At 38.5% G+C, this 17,952-nt stretch overlaps 2 annotated features.

Annotated features, from left to right (window-relative positions):
- Positions 6,099-6,712: an enhancer, noted in NCBI's record as "NANOG-H3K27ac hESC enhancer chrX:113836715-113837329 (GRCh37/hg19 assembly coordinates)". NCBI's record gives its function as "activates a minimal SCP1, AML or CMV promoter by ChIP-STARR-seq in naive H9 embryonic stem cells {active_cell/tissue: H9 hESC(naive)}" and the evidence as "EXISTENCE:reporter gene assay evidence [ECO:0000049][PMID:30033119]".
- Positions 10,643-11,198: an enhancer, noted in NCBI's record as "OCT4-NANOG-H3K27ac-H3K4me1 hESC enhancer chrX:113700885-113701440 (GRCh37/hg19 assembly coordinates)". NCBI's record gives its function as "activates a minimal SCP1, AML or CMV promoter by ChIP-STARR-seq in naive and primed H9 embryonic stem cells {active_cell/tissue: H9 hESC(naive and primed)}" and the evidence as "EXISTENCE:reporter gene assay evidence [ECO:0000049][PMID:30033119]".

Below are 17,952 nucleotides of genomic sequence, written 5' to 3'. Positions count from 1 at the left end.
CCACTCCGTCCAGTTCTTCCTTTTAGCAAATTTTCTGGACATCTGTGCTTATTTATTTTTCTAAATGAACTGTACGAATAACTTGTCTAGCACACAAAACACCTGATAGTAATTTTATAAGTTAACTTGGGAATAATTTACATGTTTATAATGTAAAGTCATCAGCTTGTTCAAGTTTACTTGTTTGTTTTCAGGCGTATTTTATACACTTCCTCATAAATTAAGAAACCCTATGCTTTATGTACAACCTGTCAAGTTCATATGAATATTTTATGAGTGTTGTAAATATGGTCTGTTTTTCCTATACATCTTCTAACTGATTGGTTTTATATATGAGGCCTGTTTTGGTCAATGTGTTAACTTTACTATACATTGCTACTTTACTAATTTCTTTTAATATTTATAATATTTTGCATTGTTTCTTTTTGGGTTTTCAGCTATAGGATCATATCATCTGAAAGTAGAGATACCCATAATTTTATCTCTTCTAGACTTATATTTTCAATTGCCCTTTTTATTTTTAAAATTTATTTAAAATTTTAATTTCTAATTATTATGGGCACATGATAGCTGTATATATTTATGGGGCATATATGATGTTTTGATACAGGCATACAACGTGTGATGATCGGGGTATTTGGGGTATCCATTATGTTAAGCAGTTATCATTTCTTTGTGTTAGGAATATTCTAATTCTACTATTTTAGTTATTTCTAAATATACAATAAATTATTAACTATAGCATCCTTATTTTGCTACTGAATACAAGATCTTATTTATTCTATCTAACTGTGTTTTTATACTCATTGACCATCCCCATTCTATTTTTCCCTCCCCATTACCCTTCCCAGTCTCTGGTAATGATCATTCTAGTTTCTGTCTCCATAAGTTCCGTTTTCTTTTTCTTTCTTTTCTTTTTCCCACATATGAGTGAGAACATGAGATATTTGTCTCTCTGTGCCTGGCTTATTTCACTTAATATAATGTCCTCCAACTCCATCTATATTGTTGCAAATGACAGGTTTCATTCTTTTTATGGCTGAATAATTTTCCATTACGTATATGTACCACATTTTCTTTATCCATTCATCCATTGATGGGTACATAGGTTGATTTTACATCTTGGCCTTTGTGAATAGCACTGCAATAAACATGGGAATGCAGATATCTCTTTAATATAATGATTTTCTTTCTTTTGGATATACATCTAACAGAACATACACTGGGGAAAGGACAATCTCTTCAATAAATAGTGCTGGGAAAACTGGATATCCAGATGCAGAAGAGTGAAACCTGACCCCTATCTTTTGCCACACCACACAAAAATTAAACTAAAATGGATTAAACACTTAAATCTAAGACCTCAAACTATGAAATTACTAGAAGAAAACATTGGGTAAACACTTCTGGACATTGGTCTGGGCAAAGATTTCTTGAGTAAGACCTCAAAAGAATAGGCGACCAAATCAAAATGGATAAATAGGATCACATCAAGCTAAAAAGTTTCTGCACAGCAAAGGAAACTATCAACAAAATGAAGCGACAACTAACAGAGGGAAGAAAATATTTGCAAACTACCCATCTGACAAGGGATTAATAATCAAAATATATAAGGAGCTCAAACAACTCAACAGGAAAAAACCAATCTGATTAAAATCTGGGCAAAATATCTGAATAGACATTTTTCAAAAGAAGACATACAAATAGCCAAGTATGTGGGAAAAATGCTCAACATCACTACTCACCAGAGAAATTCAAATCAAAACTACAATGAGATATCATCTCACCCCAGTTAAGAGGGCTTTTATCCAAAAGATTAGCAGCAACAAATGTTGGTGAGGATGTGAAGAAAGAGTTATCCTAATATACTGTTGACAGGAATTTAAATTAGTGCAACCACTATGGAGAACAGTACGGAGGTTCCTCAAAAAACAAAAAAAACAAAACAAAAAAAAAAAACAAAACCAAAAAGCTACTATATGATTCAGATATCCCAATTGCTTTCTCTTTTACAACTACACTGGCTAATGCATCTAATGCAAATTGAGTAGTGCTGCAGATAGTGAATGTACTTTAACGGGGGAAGTCTCCGATGTTTACCAACTGAGAAATATACTGGTTTGGGGGCTGATGCCATGTGTATTAAAGTATCCATTGATTTCTACTTAATTTAATATTTTTAAAAATTGGCTGGGCACGGTGGCTTATGCCTGTAATCCCAGCATTTTAGGAGGCCAAGGCAGGTGGATCATTTCAGGTCATGAGTTCGAGACCAGCCTGGCCAACAAAGCAAAACCCCGTCTCTACTAAAAATACGACAACTAGCCAGGTGTGGTGGCACGCACCTGTAATCCCAGCTACTCTGGAGGCTGAAGCACGAGAATTGCTTGAACCTGGGAGGCAGAGGTTGCAGTGAGCTGAGATTGCGCCACTGCACTCCAGCCTTGGTGATGGAGTGAGAATGTGTCTCAAAAAAAAAAAAAATTAAATTAATGGTTGCTGAATTTAGTGATATAGATTTAGGTTTCTTATAAAGATGATAATGCTTTTTTCTTTCTAGTTCTATTAATATGATAATTGTGTAAATTTTCTCTTAATGTTGAACCACCACTACATTCCTAAATAAACCCCAGTTAGTTACATAATCCCAAATAATGTGTTACTTTTCAATGTGTTTCTGGATTCTGTTTGCTAATGTTTTATTTAAGAATTTTGCATCAAATATTTATAAGTGATACCAGACTATAGTTTTCATTTGGATATTAATATTATATTTGCTACATAAAGTGAATTTGGATTTTTTTTCTTTTTACATGCTCTTTAATAGTTTTGGAAGCGTTAAGATGGGCAGATCTTTAAAAGGTCTTGTAGAACTCCCCTGGGAAGCCATATAGGTCTAGTGCTTTTTTGCAGGTGAATTCTTTACAACTGTCTCTATTTGTCTATGAAAAATGGTCTGTATCGTATTTTTATTTTGACTTAAATTTGGTAAACTATATTTTCAAGGAATTATTTATTTTTCTAGATTTTAAAATGGAATTGCATAGATATATGCAAAATAGTCTCACGTAAAATAATTGATAGTTATTTTCCACTTGTCACTTCTACTTATCTGCACTTGTGGCTCCTTTCTCTGCTTTATTAGGTTACTTAATGATTTATCAATCTTTTGCACTTTTTCCCAATGAACTAGCTTGCTTGCTTGCCTTTTTATGTATGATTTCTACAGTTTTCTATCTTCTAACTCATTAACATCTGATTTTATTATTATTTTCTTAATTATTTTTTCTTTTGGTTTATTTTTCATTTTTTCTCTGGTCTTTTAACATGAGTAATTTATTTATTTTTTTTTCAGTTCTGTTTATATAGGTATTGAATTGCATATTTTTCTTCTGATAATGGCTTTTGCTGTATTTCATTATTGATATTTACAAGAAATTCTCCAATTATGTTTTATATTTCTACTTTGACCTAAGAGTTGTTTGCTAGCACGTTTTTAAATATATTTAGGTAAAAATTTGTTTAAATATATATTTTCTTGTTTTATGACAATAGAGAATTCCAACTATAACATTTTGATTTTTTAGAATTATTGACATTTTTACAGCACCCTTATATGTAGTCAGTTTTCAGAAATATTTTATAAGCACTCCAAAAACTTCTCTATAATTCAGGGCACAAGGGATAATATTTTTCCATATGATATTGATTATGCTGTTTGTACCTTCTTTATAGTTTCTAAATTTGTGTCCATTTCATGTGAATTGGATATTGGCATACTAATATATCCCATTACTAGTGTGTCTATGTTTATTTATCTTCATACCAACTATAGTTCCTATTTATAGAAAATTTTGTTTTTATATTATATGCAGAAATATTAATGCCTCATCATTCTGAATCGTAAACTTACTGATTTAAAGTGTTTATTTGTCTCTTACTTTTTAGTCTGAATTCTACCTTGTTAGCTATCAAGTTCTTGACTGTTACTCTCTTTTCATTTACTTTTGTTTGGTAGGAAAACTGGCATCTTTTATTTTTAACCTTTTGAATTTCTTTATGTTAGATGTGTCTTTGTATAAAGTGTAGGTTTGATTTTACTTTTTTAGTCAATCTAAAACATATTGTTCCTTTAATTTGTGAGTCATGATTTTTTGTATTTATTAATAACTGTGATATATTTAGTCTCGATTCTGTTCTTCATCAAGCTCTAAAATTTTTCTCTAGACGGTTTTTTGTACCCTCCACCCTCCTTTCTCTCCCTCTCTCTCCTTCTCTTAGGTATTAATGTTGGTATTTAGGAAGATTTTACTTTTTGTTCTAATAATTGCCATTATGTTATTCCCTTATATAGTATCTCTTCTTTCAAGATACTTTCTTCTATTCATTTCTTACAATAAGCACTATTAAAAATAGCTAAAACTCTTTTCTTTTCTTCTCCTCTCTTTCCCCAAATTCCAACTATATCCCTAAACTCTCAACATTGAATCTACTTCTTCTCCCCACCATTTTAAATAGTTGTAATATATCATAGTTGGAAGAGCCAACATCATTTACATATACCCATTTGTCCTTATCACCATTATTTAACCTTCGTCATGTAACTGAATATACTTAATGCTCACAGCCATTTTAATATTGTTTTTGGTAGTGTGAAGCTTATTCTTCAGTAGATTATCGAGGAAAAACTTGTAGGTGTAGTATTTCCTGAATTCTTGCATATTCACAACAATTTGTATTGTGTTTCACAAATTCTTTGAATTTCTTAAATTGCTTTAGGAATTTCTGGTTTAAAGCATTGTAGTCAACAAGTCTAATGGTAATCTAATTTTTAAAACCCTTTTGTTTGATACTTTTACTTGTATTCCCAAAAGATGTTTTATTTTCAGTAGATGAGACTTTTGCTAGAATATACCTTTACATTGGTCATTCAGGGTTGATTGTCTCAAGTAACTTGTAACTTCAAATCTTCTTTAATTTCAGGAAAGTACTCTTGGTTATGGTTTTTAATATTTGTAGTTTTCTCTTTGGTCTTATGCTTCTAACACTCTTTTCGCATATATGTTGCATTTTCTTCGTCTATTGTAAGTATTTATTTTCATGCGCGTACGTGTGAAGAGACCACCAAACAGGCTTTGTGTGAGCAACATGGCTGTTTATTTCACCTGGGTGCAGGTGGGCTGAGTCCAAAAAGAGAGTCAGTGAAGGGAGATAAGGGTGTGGCCGTTTTATAGGATTTGGGTAGGTAAAGGAAAATTACAGTCAAAGGGGGTTTGTTCTCTGGCGGGCAGGAGTGGGGGTCGCAAGGTGCTCAGTGGGGGTGCTTTTTGAGCCAGGATGAGCCAGGAAAAGGACTTTCACAAGGTAATGTCATCAGTTAAGGCAAGGACCGGCCATTTACCAGTGGAATAAATAAATACCGGCCATTTTGTGGTGGAATGTCATCAGTTAAGGTGGGGCAGGGCATATTCACTTCTTTTGTGATTCTTCAGTTACTTCAGGCCATCTGGATGTATACATGCAAGTCACAGGGGATGCGATGGCTTGGCTTGGGCTCAGAGGCCTGACATTCCTGCCTTCTTATATTAATAAGAAAAATAAAACAAAATAGTGTTGAAGTGTTGGGGCGGTGAAAATTTTTGGGGGGTGGTATGGAGAGAGAATGGGTGATGTTTCTCAGGGCTGCTTCAAGCGGGATTAGGGGCGGTGTGGGAACCTAGAGTGGGAGAGATTAAGCTGAAGGGAGGTCTTGTGGTAAGGGGTGATATTGTGGGGATGTTAGAAGAAACATTTGTCATATAGAATGATTGGTGATGGCCTGGATACGGTTTTGGATGAATTGAAAAACTAAATGGAATAACAGAAGGAGAAAAACAGGTATAAAAGGTCTAAGAATTGGGAGGACCTAGGACATCTAATTAGAGAGTGCTTAAGGAGATTCGGCATAGTCCTGCCAGCAAAGATTGTTTATTTACTCCAAGAGTTAAGAGTGGCAGTTTGGGGATAGCACCAGGAGATATCAGCTGTGATGGCTTGGAAAAACAGTGTAAACCAGCAGTGTAAACAAGAGCAGGGCATGTATGAGTAGTTGAGAACGGTGAATAGGAGTATGACTAGACAGAAGATAGTAGGGATGACAAGTTTTTTTGGGGCACAGTCTAAGTTGGTCTGGTGTCTGGAATGAGACTGGGCCTAATAAAAAGGAGCGTCTATACAGGAGCTTAAATGGGCTGTACCCTGTAGCATTCCGAGGACAGGCCTGAATTCTGAGAAGGGAAAGTGGTAAAAGTATTGCCCGGTTCTTTTTAAGTTGGTGGCTGAGCTTGGTGAGGTGTGTTTTTAAAAGACCTTTAGTCCATTCTACTTTTCTTGAAGACGGAGGACCATAAGGGATATAAAGGTTTCACTGAATACTAAGAGGCTGAAAAACTGCTTGGCTGATTTGACTAATAAAGGCTCATCTGTTATCAGACTGTATTGAGGTGGGAAAGCTAAACTGAGGAATTATGTCTGACAGAAGGGAAGAAATGACTGTGGTGGCCTTCCCAGACCCTGTAGGAAAGGCCTCTACCTATCCAGTGAAAGTATCTACCTAGACTAAGAGGTATTTTAGTTATCTGACTCAGGGCTTGTTGAGTAAAGCTAATTTGCCAGTCCTGGGTGGGGCAAATCCTCGAGCTTGATGTGTAGGGAAGGCAGGGGGCCTGAATAATCCCTGAGGAGTAGTAGAATAGCAGATGGAACACTGAGAAGTTATTCCCATGAGGATAGATTTCCTCGATGGAAAGGAAATGAGAGGTTCTAAGAGGCGGGCTAGTGGCTTGTACTATAGCATAACCTGCCTTTGCTGGTGTGTGGCGATTAGGCCTGGTGGAACCGCCATCAATAAATCAAGCGTGATCAGGGTGAGGAACAGGAAAGAAGGAAATTTGGGGAAATGGGGTGAATGTCAGGTGGATCAGAGAGATACAGTCATGGGGGTCAGGTGCGGTATCAGGAATAATGTGGGAGGCCGGATTGAAGTCCAGGCCAGGAACAATGGTAATTGTGGGAGACTCAACAAAGAGTGAGTATAGCTGAAGGAGCCGGGAAGCAGAAAGTATATGCGTCAGGTATGAGGAAGAAAACAGATTTTGGAAGTTATGAGAACTGTAGAGAGTGATTTGAACATAGTTTGTGATTTTGAGGGCCTCTAAAAGTATTAAAGCAGTGGCAGCCACTGCACACAGACATGAGGGCTAGGCTAAAACAGTAAGGTCAAGTTGTTTGGACAGAAAGGCTACAGGGTGTGGTCCTGGCTCTTGTGTAAGAATTCTGACCGCGCTAACCATGCCTAGGAGGAAAGGAGTTGTTGTTTTGTAGAAGGTGCTGGGGTTTGAGAGATCAGTCGGACACAATTGGCAGGGAGAGCACGTGTGTTTTTATGAGAATTATGCCGAGATAGGTAACAGATGAGGAAGAAATTTGGGCTTGATTGAAGTAATGGGGGCTGTCTGTGAAGCTTTGCGGCAGTACAGCCTAGGTAATTTGCTGAGCTTGATGGGTGTCAGGGTCAGTCCAAGTGAAAGCGAAGAGAGGCTGGGATGAAGGGTGCAAAGGAATAGTAAAGAAAGCATGTTTGAGATCTAGAACAGAATAATGGATTATAGAGGCAGGTATTGAGGACAGGAGAGTATATGGGTTTGGCACCATGGGGTGGATAGGCAAAACAATTTGGTTGATAAGGCCAGGATCCTGAACTAACTTGTAAGGCTTGTCTGGTTTTAGGACAGGTAAAATGGGGGAATTGTAAGGAGAGTTTATAGGCTTTAAAAGGCCATGCTGTAGCAGGCGAGTGATAACAGGCTTTAATCTTTTTAAAGCGTGCCGCAGGATGGGATACTGGTGTTGAGTGGGGTAAGGGTGATTAGGTTTTAATGAGACGTTAAGGGGTGCATGATCGGTCACCAAGGAGGGAGTAGAGGTATCTTATACTTGTGGGTTAAGGTGGGGGGATACAAGAGGAGGACGCAAAGGAGGCTTTGGATTGGGAAGAAGGGCGGCAATGAGATTTAGCTGTAGTCCAGGAATAGTCAGGGAAGCAGATAATTTAAAGTGTCTCAGCCTAATAAGGGAACTGGGCAGGTGGGGATAACTAAAAAGGAGTGCTTAAAAGAGTATTGTCTAAGTTGGCACCAGAGTTGGGGAGTTTTAAGAGGTTTAGAAGCCTGGCCATCAATACCCACAGCAGTTATGGAGGCAAGGGAAACAGGCCCTTGAAAAGAAGGTAAGGTGGAGTGCGTAGCCTCCGTATTGATTAAGAAGGTAATCACTTACCTTCCACTGTGAGAGTTACCCGAAGCTCGGCATCTGTGATGGTCTAGGGGGCTTCCGAGGCGATCGGGCAGCGTCAGTCTTCAGCCGCTAATCCGAGAAGATCTGGGAAGGAGTCAGTCAGAGAGCCTTGGGCCAGAGTTCCAGGGGCTCTGGGAGTGGCTGCCAGGTGAGTTGAACAGTCTGATTTTCAGTGGGGTCCCACACAGATGGGACGCGGCTTAGGAGGAATCCCGGGCTGCGGGCATTCCTTGGCCCAGTGGCCAGATTTCCGGCACGTGTAGCAAGCTCCTGTGGGAGGAGGTTCTGGAGGAATGCCTGGCCGCTGCGGTTCAGGCGTTTGGAAGTTCTTGTGTGCTGGAGATGTGGCTGGGGTTTGTCTCAGAGTGGAGGCAAGGAATTGCAACTTTTTTCTGTTATTGTACACCTTGAAGGTGAGGTTAATTAAGTCCTGTTGTGGGGTTTGAGGGCCAGATTCCAATTTTTGGAGTTTTATTTAATGTCGGGAGCAGATTGGGTAATAAAATGTACTTTGAGAATAAGATGGCCTTTTGACGTTTTAGGGTCTAGGGCTGTAAAGTGTCTCAGGGTTGCTGCCAAACAAGTCATGAACTGGGCTGGGTTTTTATATTTGATGAAAAAGAGCCTAAACGCTATGTGATTTGGGATAAAGAAAAAGGAGCATTAACCTTGACTATGCCTTTAGCTCCAGCCACCTTTTTAAGAGTAAATTGCTGGGCAGGAGGGGGAGGGCTAGTCACAGAATGAAAGTGTAAGCCAGACCTGGTGTGAGGAGGGGAGGTGATAAAAAGATTATAGGGTGGAGGAGCAGAGGCTGAAGAAGAATTGGGACCTATCTCCGCCTGGCGAGGAGCAGCCTGGGGAGGAAGGGAGAGGTCAGATGGGTCTGTAGAAAAGGAAGATTAGAAAGACTCAGCAATGCTTGGGGTTGGTACTGAGGGGACAGGCGGGAGGGAAAGAAGGAAGATTTGGGATGAGTTGCACTGGGCACAGAGACTAGGAAGGGACTGATGTGTAAAAGAATGCCTGGACGTCAGGCACCTCAGACTGTTTACCTATTTTACGACAAGAATTATTTAGATTTTGCAGGATGGAAAAATTCAAAGTGCCATTTTCTGGCTATTTGGAACTACTGTCGAGTTGGTATTGGGGTGAAGCGGCATTGCAGAAGGAAATAAGGCATTTAGGTTTTAGGTCAGGTGTGAGTTGAAGAGGTTTTAAGTTTTTGAGAACACAGGCCAAGGGAGTAGAAGGAGGAATGGAGGGTGGAAGGTTGCCCATAGTGAAGGAAGCAAGCCTAGAGAAAAGAGAGAGTAGAGAAACAGAGGGAAGGGGTTCGGGGGTTCTTACCTTCCAGAAAAGTGGGAAAAGGGGTTGGGGCGCAGAGATAAGAGGTTGGGGCATGGAAATAAGGGATGGGGTGCAGAAATAAGGGGTCGGGGCACGGAAATAAGAGGTCGGGGTGTGGAAATAAGGGATTGGGGCACAGAGATATAAGAGGTTGGCGGCGGAAATAAGGGATTGGGGCACAGAGATATGAGGTTGGGGTGCAGAAATAAGGGATTGGGGCGCAGAGATATAAGAGGCTGGGGTGCAGAAATAAGGGATTGGGGCACAGAGATACGAGGTTGGGGTACTTGCCCCTCCTCTAGAAAAGTGGGACTTGCCGCTAAGAGTGAAGGAGAAGGGGTTGAGGGATATTTGCCCCTCCCCCAGAAAAGTGGGACTTGCCGCTAAGGGTGAAGGACCAAGGCAGGCATCCCTGCGTGGTCTGACACCTCTGAAACCTGGGTGAATAATCAGAGAGGTGTCCCTGCCATGGTTAAACACCAAGGGAAGGCTGCCTTCCCAGTCCGTGACTGGCACCGGAGTTTTGGGTCCACGGATAAAACGTGTCTCCTTTGTCTCTCCCAGAAAATGAAAGGAATTGAAATTAAGAGAAGGGAGAGATTGAAGAGTGGAAAGGAGAAAGTGGTTGAGGGACAGTGAGAGAGGTTGGAGAAGAGAGTAAGAAGAGGCCGCTTACCCGATTTAAAATTGGTGAGATGTTCCTTGGGCTGGTCGGTCTGAGGACCTGAGGTCATAGGTGGATCTTTCTCACAGAGCAAAGAACAGGAGTACAGGGGATTGATCTCCCAAGGGAGGTACCCCGATCCAAGTCACGGCACCAAATTTCATGTGTGTCCATGTGAAGAGACCACCAAACAGGCTTTGTGTGAGCAACGTGGCTGTTTATTTCACCTGGGTGCAGGCGGGCTGAGTCCAAAAAGAGAGTCAGCGAAGGGAGATAAGGGTAGGGCCGTTTTATAGGATTTGGGTAGGTAAAGGAAAATTACAGTCAAAGGGGGTTTGTTCTCTGGCGGGCAGGAGTGGGGGTTGCAAGGTGCTCAGTGGGGGTGCTTTTGAGCCAGGATGATCCAGGAAAAGGACTTTCACAAGGTAATGTCATCAGTTAAGGCAAGGACCGGCCATTTACACTTCTTTTGTGGTGGAATGTCATCAGTTAAGGTGGGGCAGGGCATATTCACTTCTTTTGTGATTCTTCATTTACTTCAGGCCATCTGGGCGTATACGTGCAAGTCACAGGGGATGCGATGGCTTGGCTTGGGCTCAGAGGCCTGACATTTATCACTTTCAAAAATAAAGAAAAAATATTTCTTCATATATGTTTAATTTATCTTTGCTTTTGCTTTCTACTCTCTAGTTCACTTATTGTACTTTCAGCCCATCCATCCTCTTTTGTGTCCCTTGTGGTCTTTCTTAATTTTTATTTCTTTGTAAAATTCTTAACTGAGCTTTGTCAGCTACAGCAGCCTGGCTACTACCTCCTTTATTAAATTTTCTAATTATGATGTGTATTGTTCTGTTCTAATATTTTTTTGTAATTACATTTAGCTTGAAATAATAGGTTCATCAGCTTTGTCCCAAATTTATGTATTTTTTTCTCATGTGTCATCATTTTCTTACTGTGATTTGTGGATCATTATCCTTTTCTTACCATATCTTGATATGGGGTTCAATCACCCTCCTTTTTTTCTTGCCCATGCTTAAGTGACATGGGGTTTCTTAACACTTTCACACCGCAGCCTCTTGGGATGCGCCAGAATAGCTTCCCTAGCTTCATTGCCCTAGGACTTCCTCTTCTGTTATATTGTAAAGTAATAAAAATATACCCTCTCACTGCATGTATATCTTCAGTAGTATGCATCACCAGTTCTTCTCCTCCTTTTTTTTCACTGTTATCTGAATGCTGTGTATCCATGTCTAACTCCTCTCATGCAATACTTCTGTCTTCTACTCCCAGCAGTTTCTTTTTGTATAGGGTTACAGTCTTCTGGGAGAGTTCTTTCATTGGGCATTTCCAAAGCCTTAAGAGCTCATGACACCCTAGCACCTTTCAGTTTTCTTGCATTCATTACATTGGAACCTGCAAGTCCCCTCTCAGTTTCAACTGCTGTTGCCACAGCTGCCTTCAGAGTGCTCCAGTTTGAATACAGAGACATTCTTCTGAGAGTGAGCATTTTTTGGTGATTTCTGTGTTTTCCAGATCTTGAGATTGCCAAATGTTGCCTTTAATGTCTCTCACACAACTGCTACTCCTTCATGGGTTTTACTGCTAAATGATTTGGCCCCACTCATTCATATTCTAGATTTTGAGGTGATACCTTATCACCTGGATTTATTGTCTATGGATTACTGTTGTTATGAGCCTCGTTGCTGTGTGCGTGTGTGTGTGTGTGTGTGTGTGTATGAGGAAATTTATTCAGAAGCAAAAATCATGCTGCTGTTACTGCCTCAACCACTGCCACTGTCTTTGAGGTGTATAATATGTATGATAATTTTGGATTACGAATGTATGATCAATTGTGACTTTGTGGAATCCTGGAAATCCTGGTATAGGGTCCATACCTCCATAAATGTGTGCTTGATTCTGACAGATACCCCAGTGTACTACCAACCAAGGATTGAGCTAAATTAATTTCTCAGTTTATGTTTTCCTAGAGCATGCAGCTATTATAAATTAAAACCCTAAAACTAGATATAGTTAGTCCTATTGATAAGATACTCCTCTCAGGGAGCCTTATCTACTCAGAGCTAAGCTTATTTTCCTTGTTTATTTGCCATCGGGTGGATTTTTTTTTCCAATCTACTCATTCACTGAGTTGTTTCAGGTTTTGAGAAATGAGGAGATTCTCTTCCAGCTCCATACCTTGTATGAGCCCAAGAATGTGTCACCTCTTCCTAGGTAGTGGATTATTAAAAAACAAGCCTTTTAGTTAACAAGATTGGCAAACACTCCCAGGGCTCTAGTAGGTTTAGCTTCGGTGTACCATTTTTTTTTTCCAGCTGTCACTTCAGTTTTAATCCCTGGGCATTTTCCTTACTTTGCTATGAGCTCAGTTATGTGTTGATTTGAAAAATATATTTATTAGATTTTATCCATCATCTCTGTATTTTGGGGATTGCTGAGGTGTGTGTCAAAGCATCTAGTTAATCATATTGCTACAGATGAAAGTCTTGATTCATAATTCAGCCAGACTAATTTACACTCATTGCTCTTTCCTAGGCAATTATGAGATCCTTATTTCTTCTTATTCTATCTTCCTGTCTTTCACACACTGCATTTCAGTCCTACAAATTGATGCATGATGTTTCATAAATCACTGCAGTAATCGTGTCTTTCTAAAAATTTAATCATATGCTTAAGGCCTACAGACGCTTTAGTTTGATATTCAAAATTACCTACTGTCTCGCTTTCACCCACCATTGCTAGTTTGTCTCTTTACTTTGTGTCCCTTAAAATTCAGCCAAACTAAATTGTTTGCAGTCTCTAATGAATAACAGCTTTTATTCCAATGTAATTTTGTTCATACTGCTTTCTTTACCTGAAATACCCATTCCTATATTCCTATGTTTTTAAATTCCTGTGGTAGTGCCAATGTGATACCATCCGTCAGTAGGATTGCCATGAAACAGATGAGTTCATTTTTCATCTCTGCTGCTTCCCAGATGTGTGGTCTGAACCTCAATTTCTTTATCTATGAAACAGGGAAAACATTTAGCTAGTTATATGAGGTAATTGCTGTGAAATCGGAATGAGAAAATATATGTAAATGTATTCTGTAAACTGAAGAAATGCTATAAAATTACAAGTATTAATTTGATTTTTCTTTGCCTAACACATTTGTTAAGGCCAAATTCAAATGCCATATCCTTCCTGAAACTTTTCCTGAGTCTTCACTAATGCAGTTAACATTTCATCAATACATGCACATTTTACTTTGTATTGTTAATTGTTCCTAGCTCTTATATTAGCTGTTAGAATGTAAATTTCCAGGAACCATGTCTAACTACTCTCACACAATTCCTTGAATAATGTAGGTATTCAATAAATATTATTAGAATATTGATTCTTATGAACAGCAATTAAGGGTATGTCCAAAATGTGCCAGCATTTTAATGGTGATTTATTAAATAACACATTCGTATGCTTAAATTATTTATAAGTATTAAACCCCTTCTTAACCTCTGTTTCTCAATTTTTTAAAACTAGAACTTGTGGCAAGTTTTTTTTTCCAGTCTTTTGTATAGCAGATGTGGTAGACTGATTTATTCAATAACTGTTTCAACTCTTAAAGTATCTTCTTGAATGGCAGATGCTGGAAAATTATAAGTTACATTTCCAGTCTCCCTTGTAGTTAAGGTTTCAGGCTTTAATGATGTCACACATGCAAAAATATCCAAGCATCCTAATTTCAGTATATTATTAAGATTTGAGTTTTTCTTCTACTTCGAATTGCATGTACAAAAACAACAAAGAAGTATCAGTTAGCTAGGATGGCCTCAAGTAGGTAGTGTGAAACTCACATATGTAAATCTCTATTTTACTTAAGCTCTGTTGCCTTGCTTTACTCTTCTGATACTATTAATGTAATAAAAGTAACCTGGAAAGGATCAGGAAATGCAGAAAATGAGTTATAGAAATATTAAAAAATAATCAGTGTACAATGAAGAAGATAGACATTGGTAGTCAAAACAAAAATAAAAAATTGGATGATAGTCACCATTTGATTATGGCTAGCCTATCAAGTGACCTTCCACTCTTTTTTATACAGCAACTCTTTTAAATGTTAAAGAAGAATTTGATGCAACAAGAAGTATACCTAAAGCTATATGCTTACCTTTTGGGTCATTTATGCCAACGATAAAATGGGTGATGATCAGAATGTTTGTGCATAAAATCTTTTTTGAACATCTGATGCTTTGCACATGCAATCTTCAAGCTCAATCAGACATGCAACTGTGTATACAAAATCCTGTTGCAAATTGCATTCAACCGCTTAAATAGCTCTTTGGAAAACAACTTCTGTTTATTTTCAGGTAAGACTTCACCTTATATCATGCCAAGAGGCATTCTTAGAAATTTTCTCTCAGCACAATTGCCAGTAGTTTTGCAGGACAAGGGGAATATACATCAATTTTCTCTAAGGGGAGGACAGAACAATGCAAGTATGTACGTCAGGCAGAACAGAATTTAATGAGTTAAATCCTTTTTCAAGAGAGCTTACTTTTTATGCCTCTACAAGAGCCTTAATAACCACAGGCAAATAATCTCACTCAAAATCCTTGACAAAAAGAATGCCACAATAGCTCAGAATGGATTGATGAATGTTTGAAAGCCTTTTATTAGAATTCTGCAAATTGGGAACACTTCTGTGAACAAACCTCCCAAAGCAAGAATTTTTCATTTGACTGCCAGAGTAAGCATAATAGCACTAGCCTCATTCTGTGTGTAATGACAAAGAGATACCTTTTTGTAATGTGGAAGCCTTATAGTAGCTTTGTTTATTTTATCTTTGATCATTGCCTTTAGCCCTGGTTTGGCCTTGCTCTAATCTTGTTGAGCTAGCTAGCTAAATAGAAAGCCATCACTATATTTTTTAGTTTTTCTATCTACCAGACACATCCATTACAATTATTCTACCCTCAAGTAACTCCCTACACAGTAATCTGAGAGGCTTGCATGAAAAATCCAGTTCTACACCTACACATAAACATGGGAACAATAGGCACTGTGGACTATTAGATGGGGGAAGGTAGGGAGAGGGGTGTGAGTTGAAAAACTACCTATTAGGTACTATGCTCACTACCTGGGTGCAAAATACCCATGTAGCGAACCTATACATATATCCCTTGCATCTAAGTTAAAATAAAAAAAAATTCAGCCCTGCCACTTAGCATGGCTTTGGGCAGATTACTTATGCACACTGAACTTCAGTTACCTCCACTGTGAAATGGGAATTATAAAAGTGCCTATTCCAATGGATTGTTCTGTGGACTAAATGAAGCTAAAGTTCTGTAAAGCAGCTAGCATGTTGATTGCTATTATAATAAAAGCTTATTAATGATAGTTTCATTCCATTTTCTTTTCTTTTTTTCCACAGGCATGACCTTCAGTCTGTAATACGGGATCCACTACAAGTCTTTGGGAGGTGTTATTACAGGTATTGGTTGTATGATGTAAATGTGTGTGCTGAATTATCTTTAATCATAGTCAAGTGGTTGTTTAGAACTCCTGAAGAAAGGAAGCTACTTACCAGAAGATACATGTCACGTACAAATCTCAGTGCATGAGGTGGAATTTTCTAAGGATGTCATTGCTTTCACCTATTTTCAAATTAAGACAAGAAATCTCTATGAATGTAAATCTATTAACTGTTGTGGCACCAAATAATTCCAAGCCTAAATTCATTTAATGACCATAAAATTTTAATAAGATAGGCACAGAAGTGTGTGCAAAGAGCACTTGCTCTTAAATCACTTTTTTTCACTTTCTCTCCCAATATTTCTAGCTCAGGTGCCAAGAAATATTTATTAAAGACAATCCACAGTTTAAAATCACCTCAGTAGACATTGCAAATTATACTTTCTACTTGTAATAAAGGAGAGATTTGGTCACAAATCACTTCTCTGAAACACATCTTTATGGATTCTAAACTAATTAAATCAGAAAGTCTGATTATCTCCAGAGATCCATAGAGGAGGAAGATACTTCTTCTTAGACAAAGGAGTTCTTAAAATTTAAAACCAAGTTTTAAAACCTAAAACTTACCATATCAGAGTGGCTTGGCCAGATAAAGTAGTCAAGAGGAAAAGATCTGAAACTGGGAAATTAGGTTACCTGGGTTCCAAGTCTATGGTAGTAAATTTATGTGCCCACAGGGGCCAGAGAAATCATGTAAATGAGTAACCTGGGCCAAATGCAGGGTCACAAGAAATGGTGAAGCTGAGAGTACATCTAATGGAATGGCAGTTACTTGGCTCTAACCAATTGTTGTATTGTGAGAATATGAGTCCAATATTTTTATATGTTCCAATCTTTAACAAAACTTGACAGCCAGATATTTATGCGAATTCTCCCAATTTTTACATGTTGCCAAATAGTTCAAATCTTTTTATAACTTTGTGTGGACCAAGCATATTACATCTGCTGGGTTGGCTACTGTATGACTGTAGCTCTTGATCCTGTTTAATCATTGATTAGCTGTCTGATACTGGGCAAGTCGTCTAAGTTCTTTGTGCCTCAATTTTCTTATCTCCATATGGGGTAGACTAGGAGCAGGCAAAGTATGGCCTGTTTTGTGAATAAGGCTTTATTAGAACACAGCCACACCCACTTGTTTACATATGTTCTATGGCTCCCTCAATGTTACAACAGATTTGAGTAGTTTTGATAGGGATCATATGGTCCACAAAACCTAAAATATTTAATATTTGGCCCTTGATAAAAATGTTTGTCAACTACTAGGGGAGATCATTGCTTCCTTATGTACCCAAAGTTTGCTGAAAGTAGGAGAAAGTACCAAGTTCCAAATATGCACTCACATGCGAATATTCCTAAAAAAAAAGATTGTGAAAATTAGTCGTGGTAGATTGCATTATTGGCCCCAATCATTTGACCCTTCTGTGTCCATTTCTTTACTATGTAACTGCAGTGCCTTGCCGCTTGATTCTGGGCTCAGGCTTGTGATTTTCTTTGGCCAGTTGGGCATTAAGCAGATAGGACACAAACCGGCTCAAAAAAGGATGTATGGATTGGTGCTTAGTTTTTTCCTTCTTTATCATCAGCAGGAGGACATACCTGAACCTAGCCTTTTAGAGCAGTGATTGGCAAACGTTTTCGGTAAAGGTCCAGGTAATAAATATTTTAGGCTTTACGGGTCATATGATCTTTGTTGCCATGACTTCACTCTGCTGTTGCGGTGCAAAAACAACCATACACAATACATAGAAAAATGGGCAGGTCTGTGTTCCAGTGAAATGTTAGTTACAAAAACAGGTAGTGGGCTGAATTTGGTTCACTAATCCGTATACTGGAGGAAAAGGTTCAGGGAGCAAAGCTCACTCATCTTACCCACCCCAACTGTGATAGCGACCAGCCATGTAACCCACAGACAGATGAGCAAATCCAGACAAGTAGAACTGCCCAGCCCAGTCTCAGATGCATGAATAATTAGTGCTTATTATTGTTTGCAACTGGGATCTTGACGTTGTTTTTTACACAGCAAAAGCTAACTGATTCTCTATTATATTATTAAATAGTAATCTAAAGCAGAA

The sequence above is a fragment of the Homo sapiens genome, chromosome X (genome assembly GCF_000001405.40).
Source record: "Homo sapiens chromosome X, GRCh38.p14 Primary Assembly".
Classification (NCBI taxonomy): domain Eukaryota; kingdom Metazoa; phylum Chordata; class Mammalia; order Primates; family Hominidae; genus Homo; species Homo sapiens.
The sequence above is the reverse complement of the archived record's forward strand: the minus strand, read 5'-3'. Positions and strand labels throughout refer to the sequence as shown.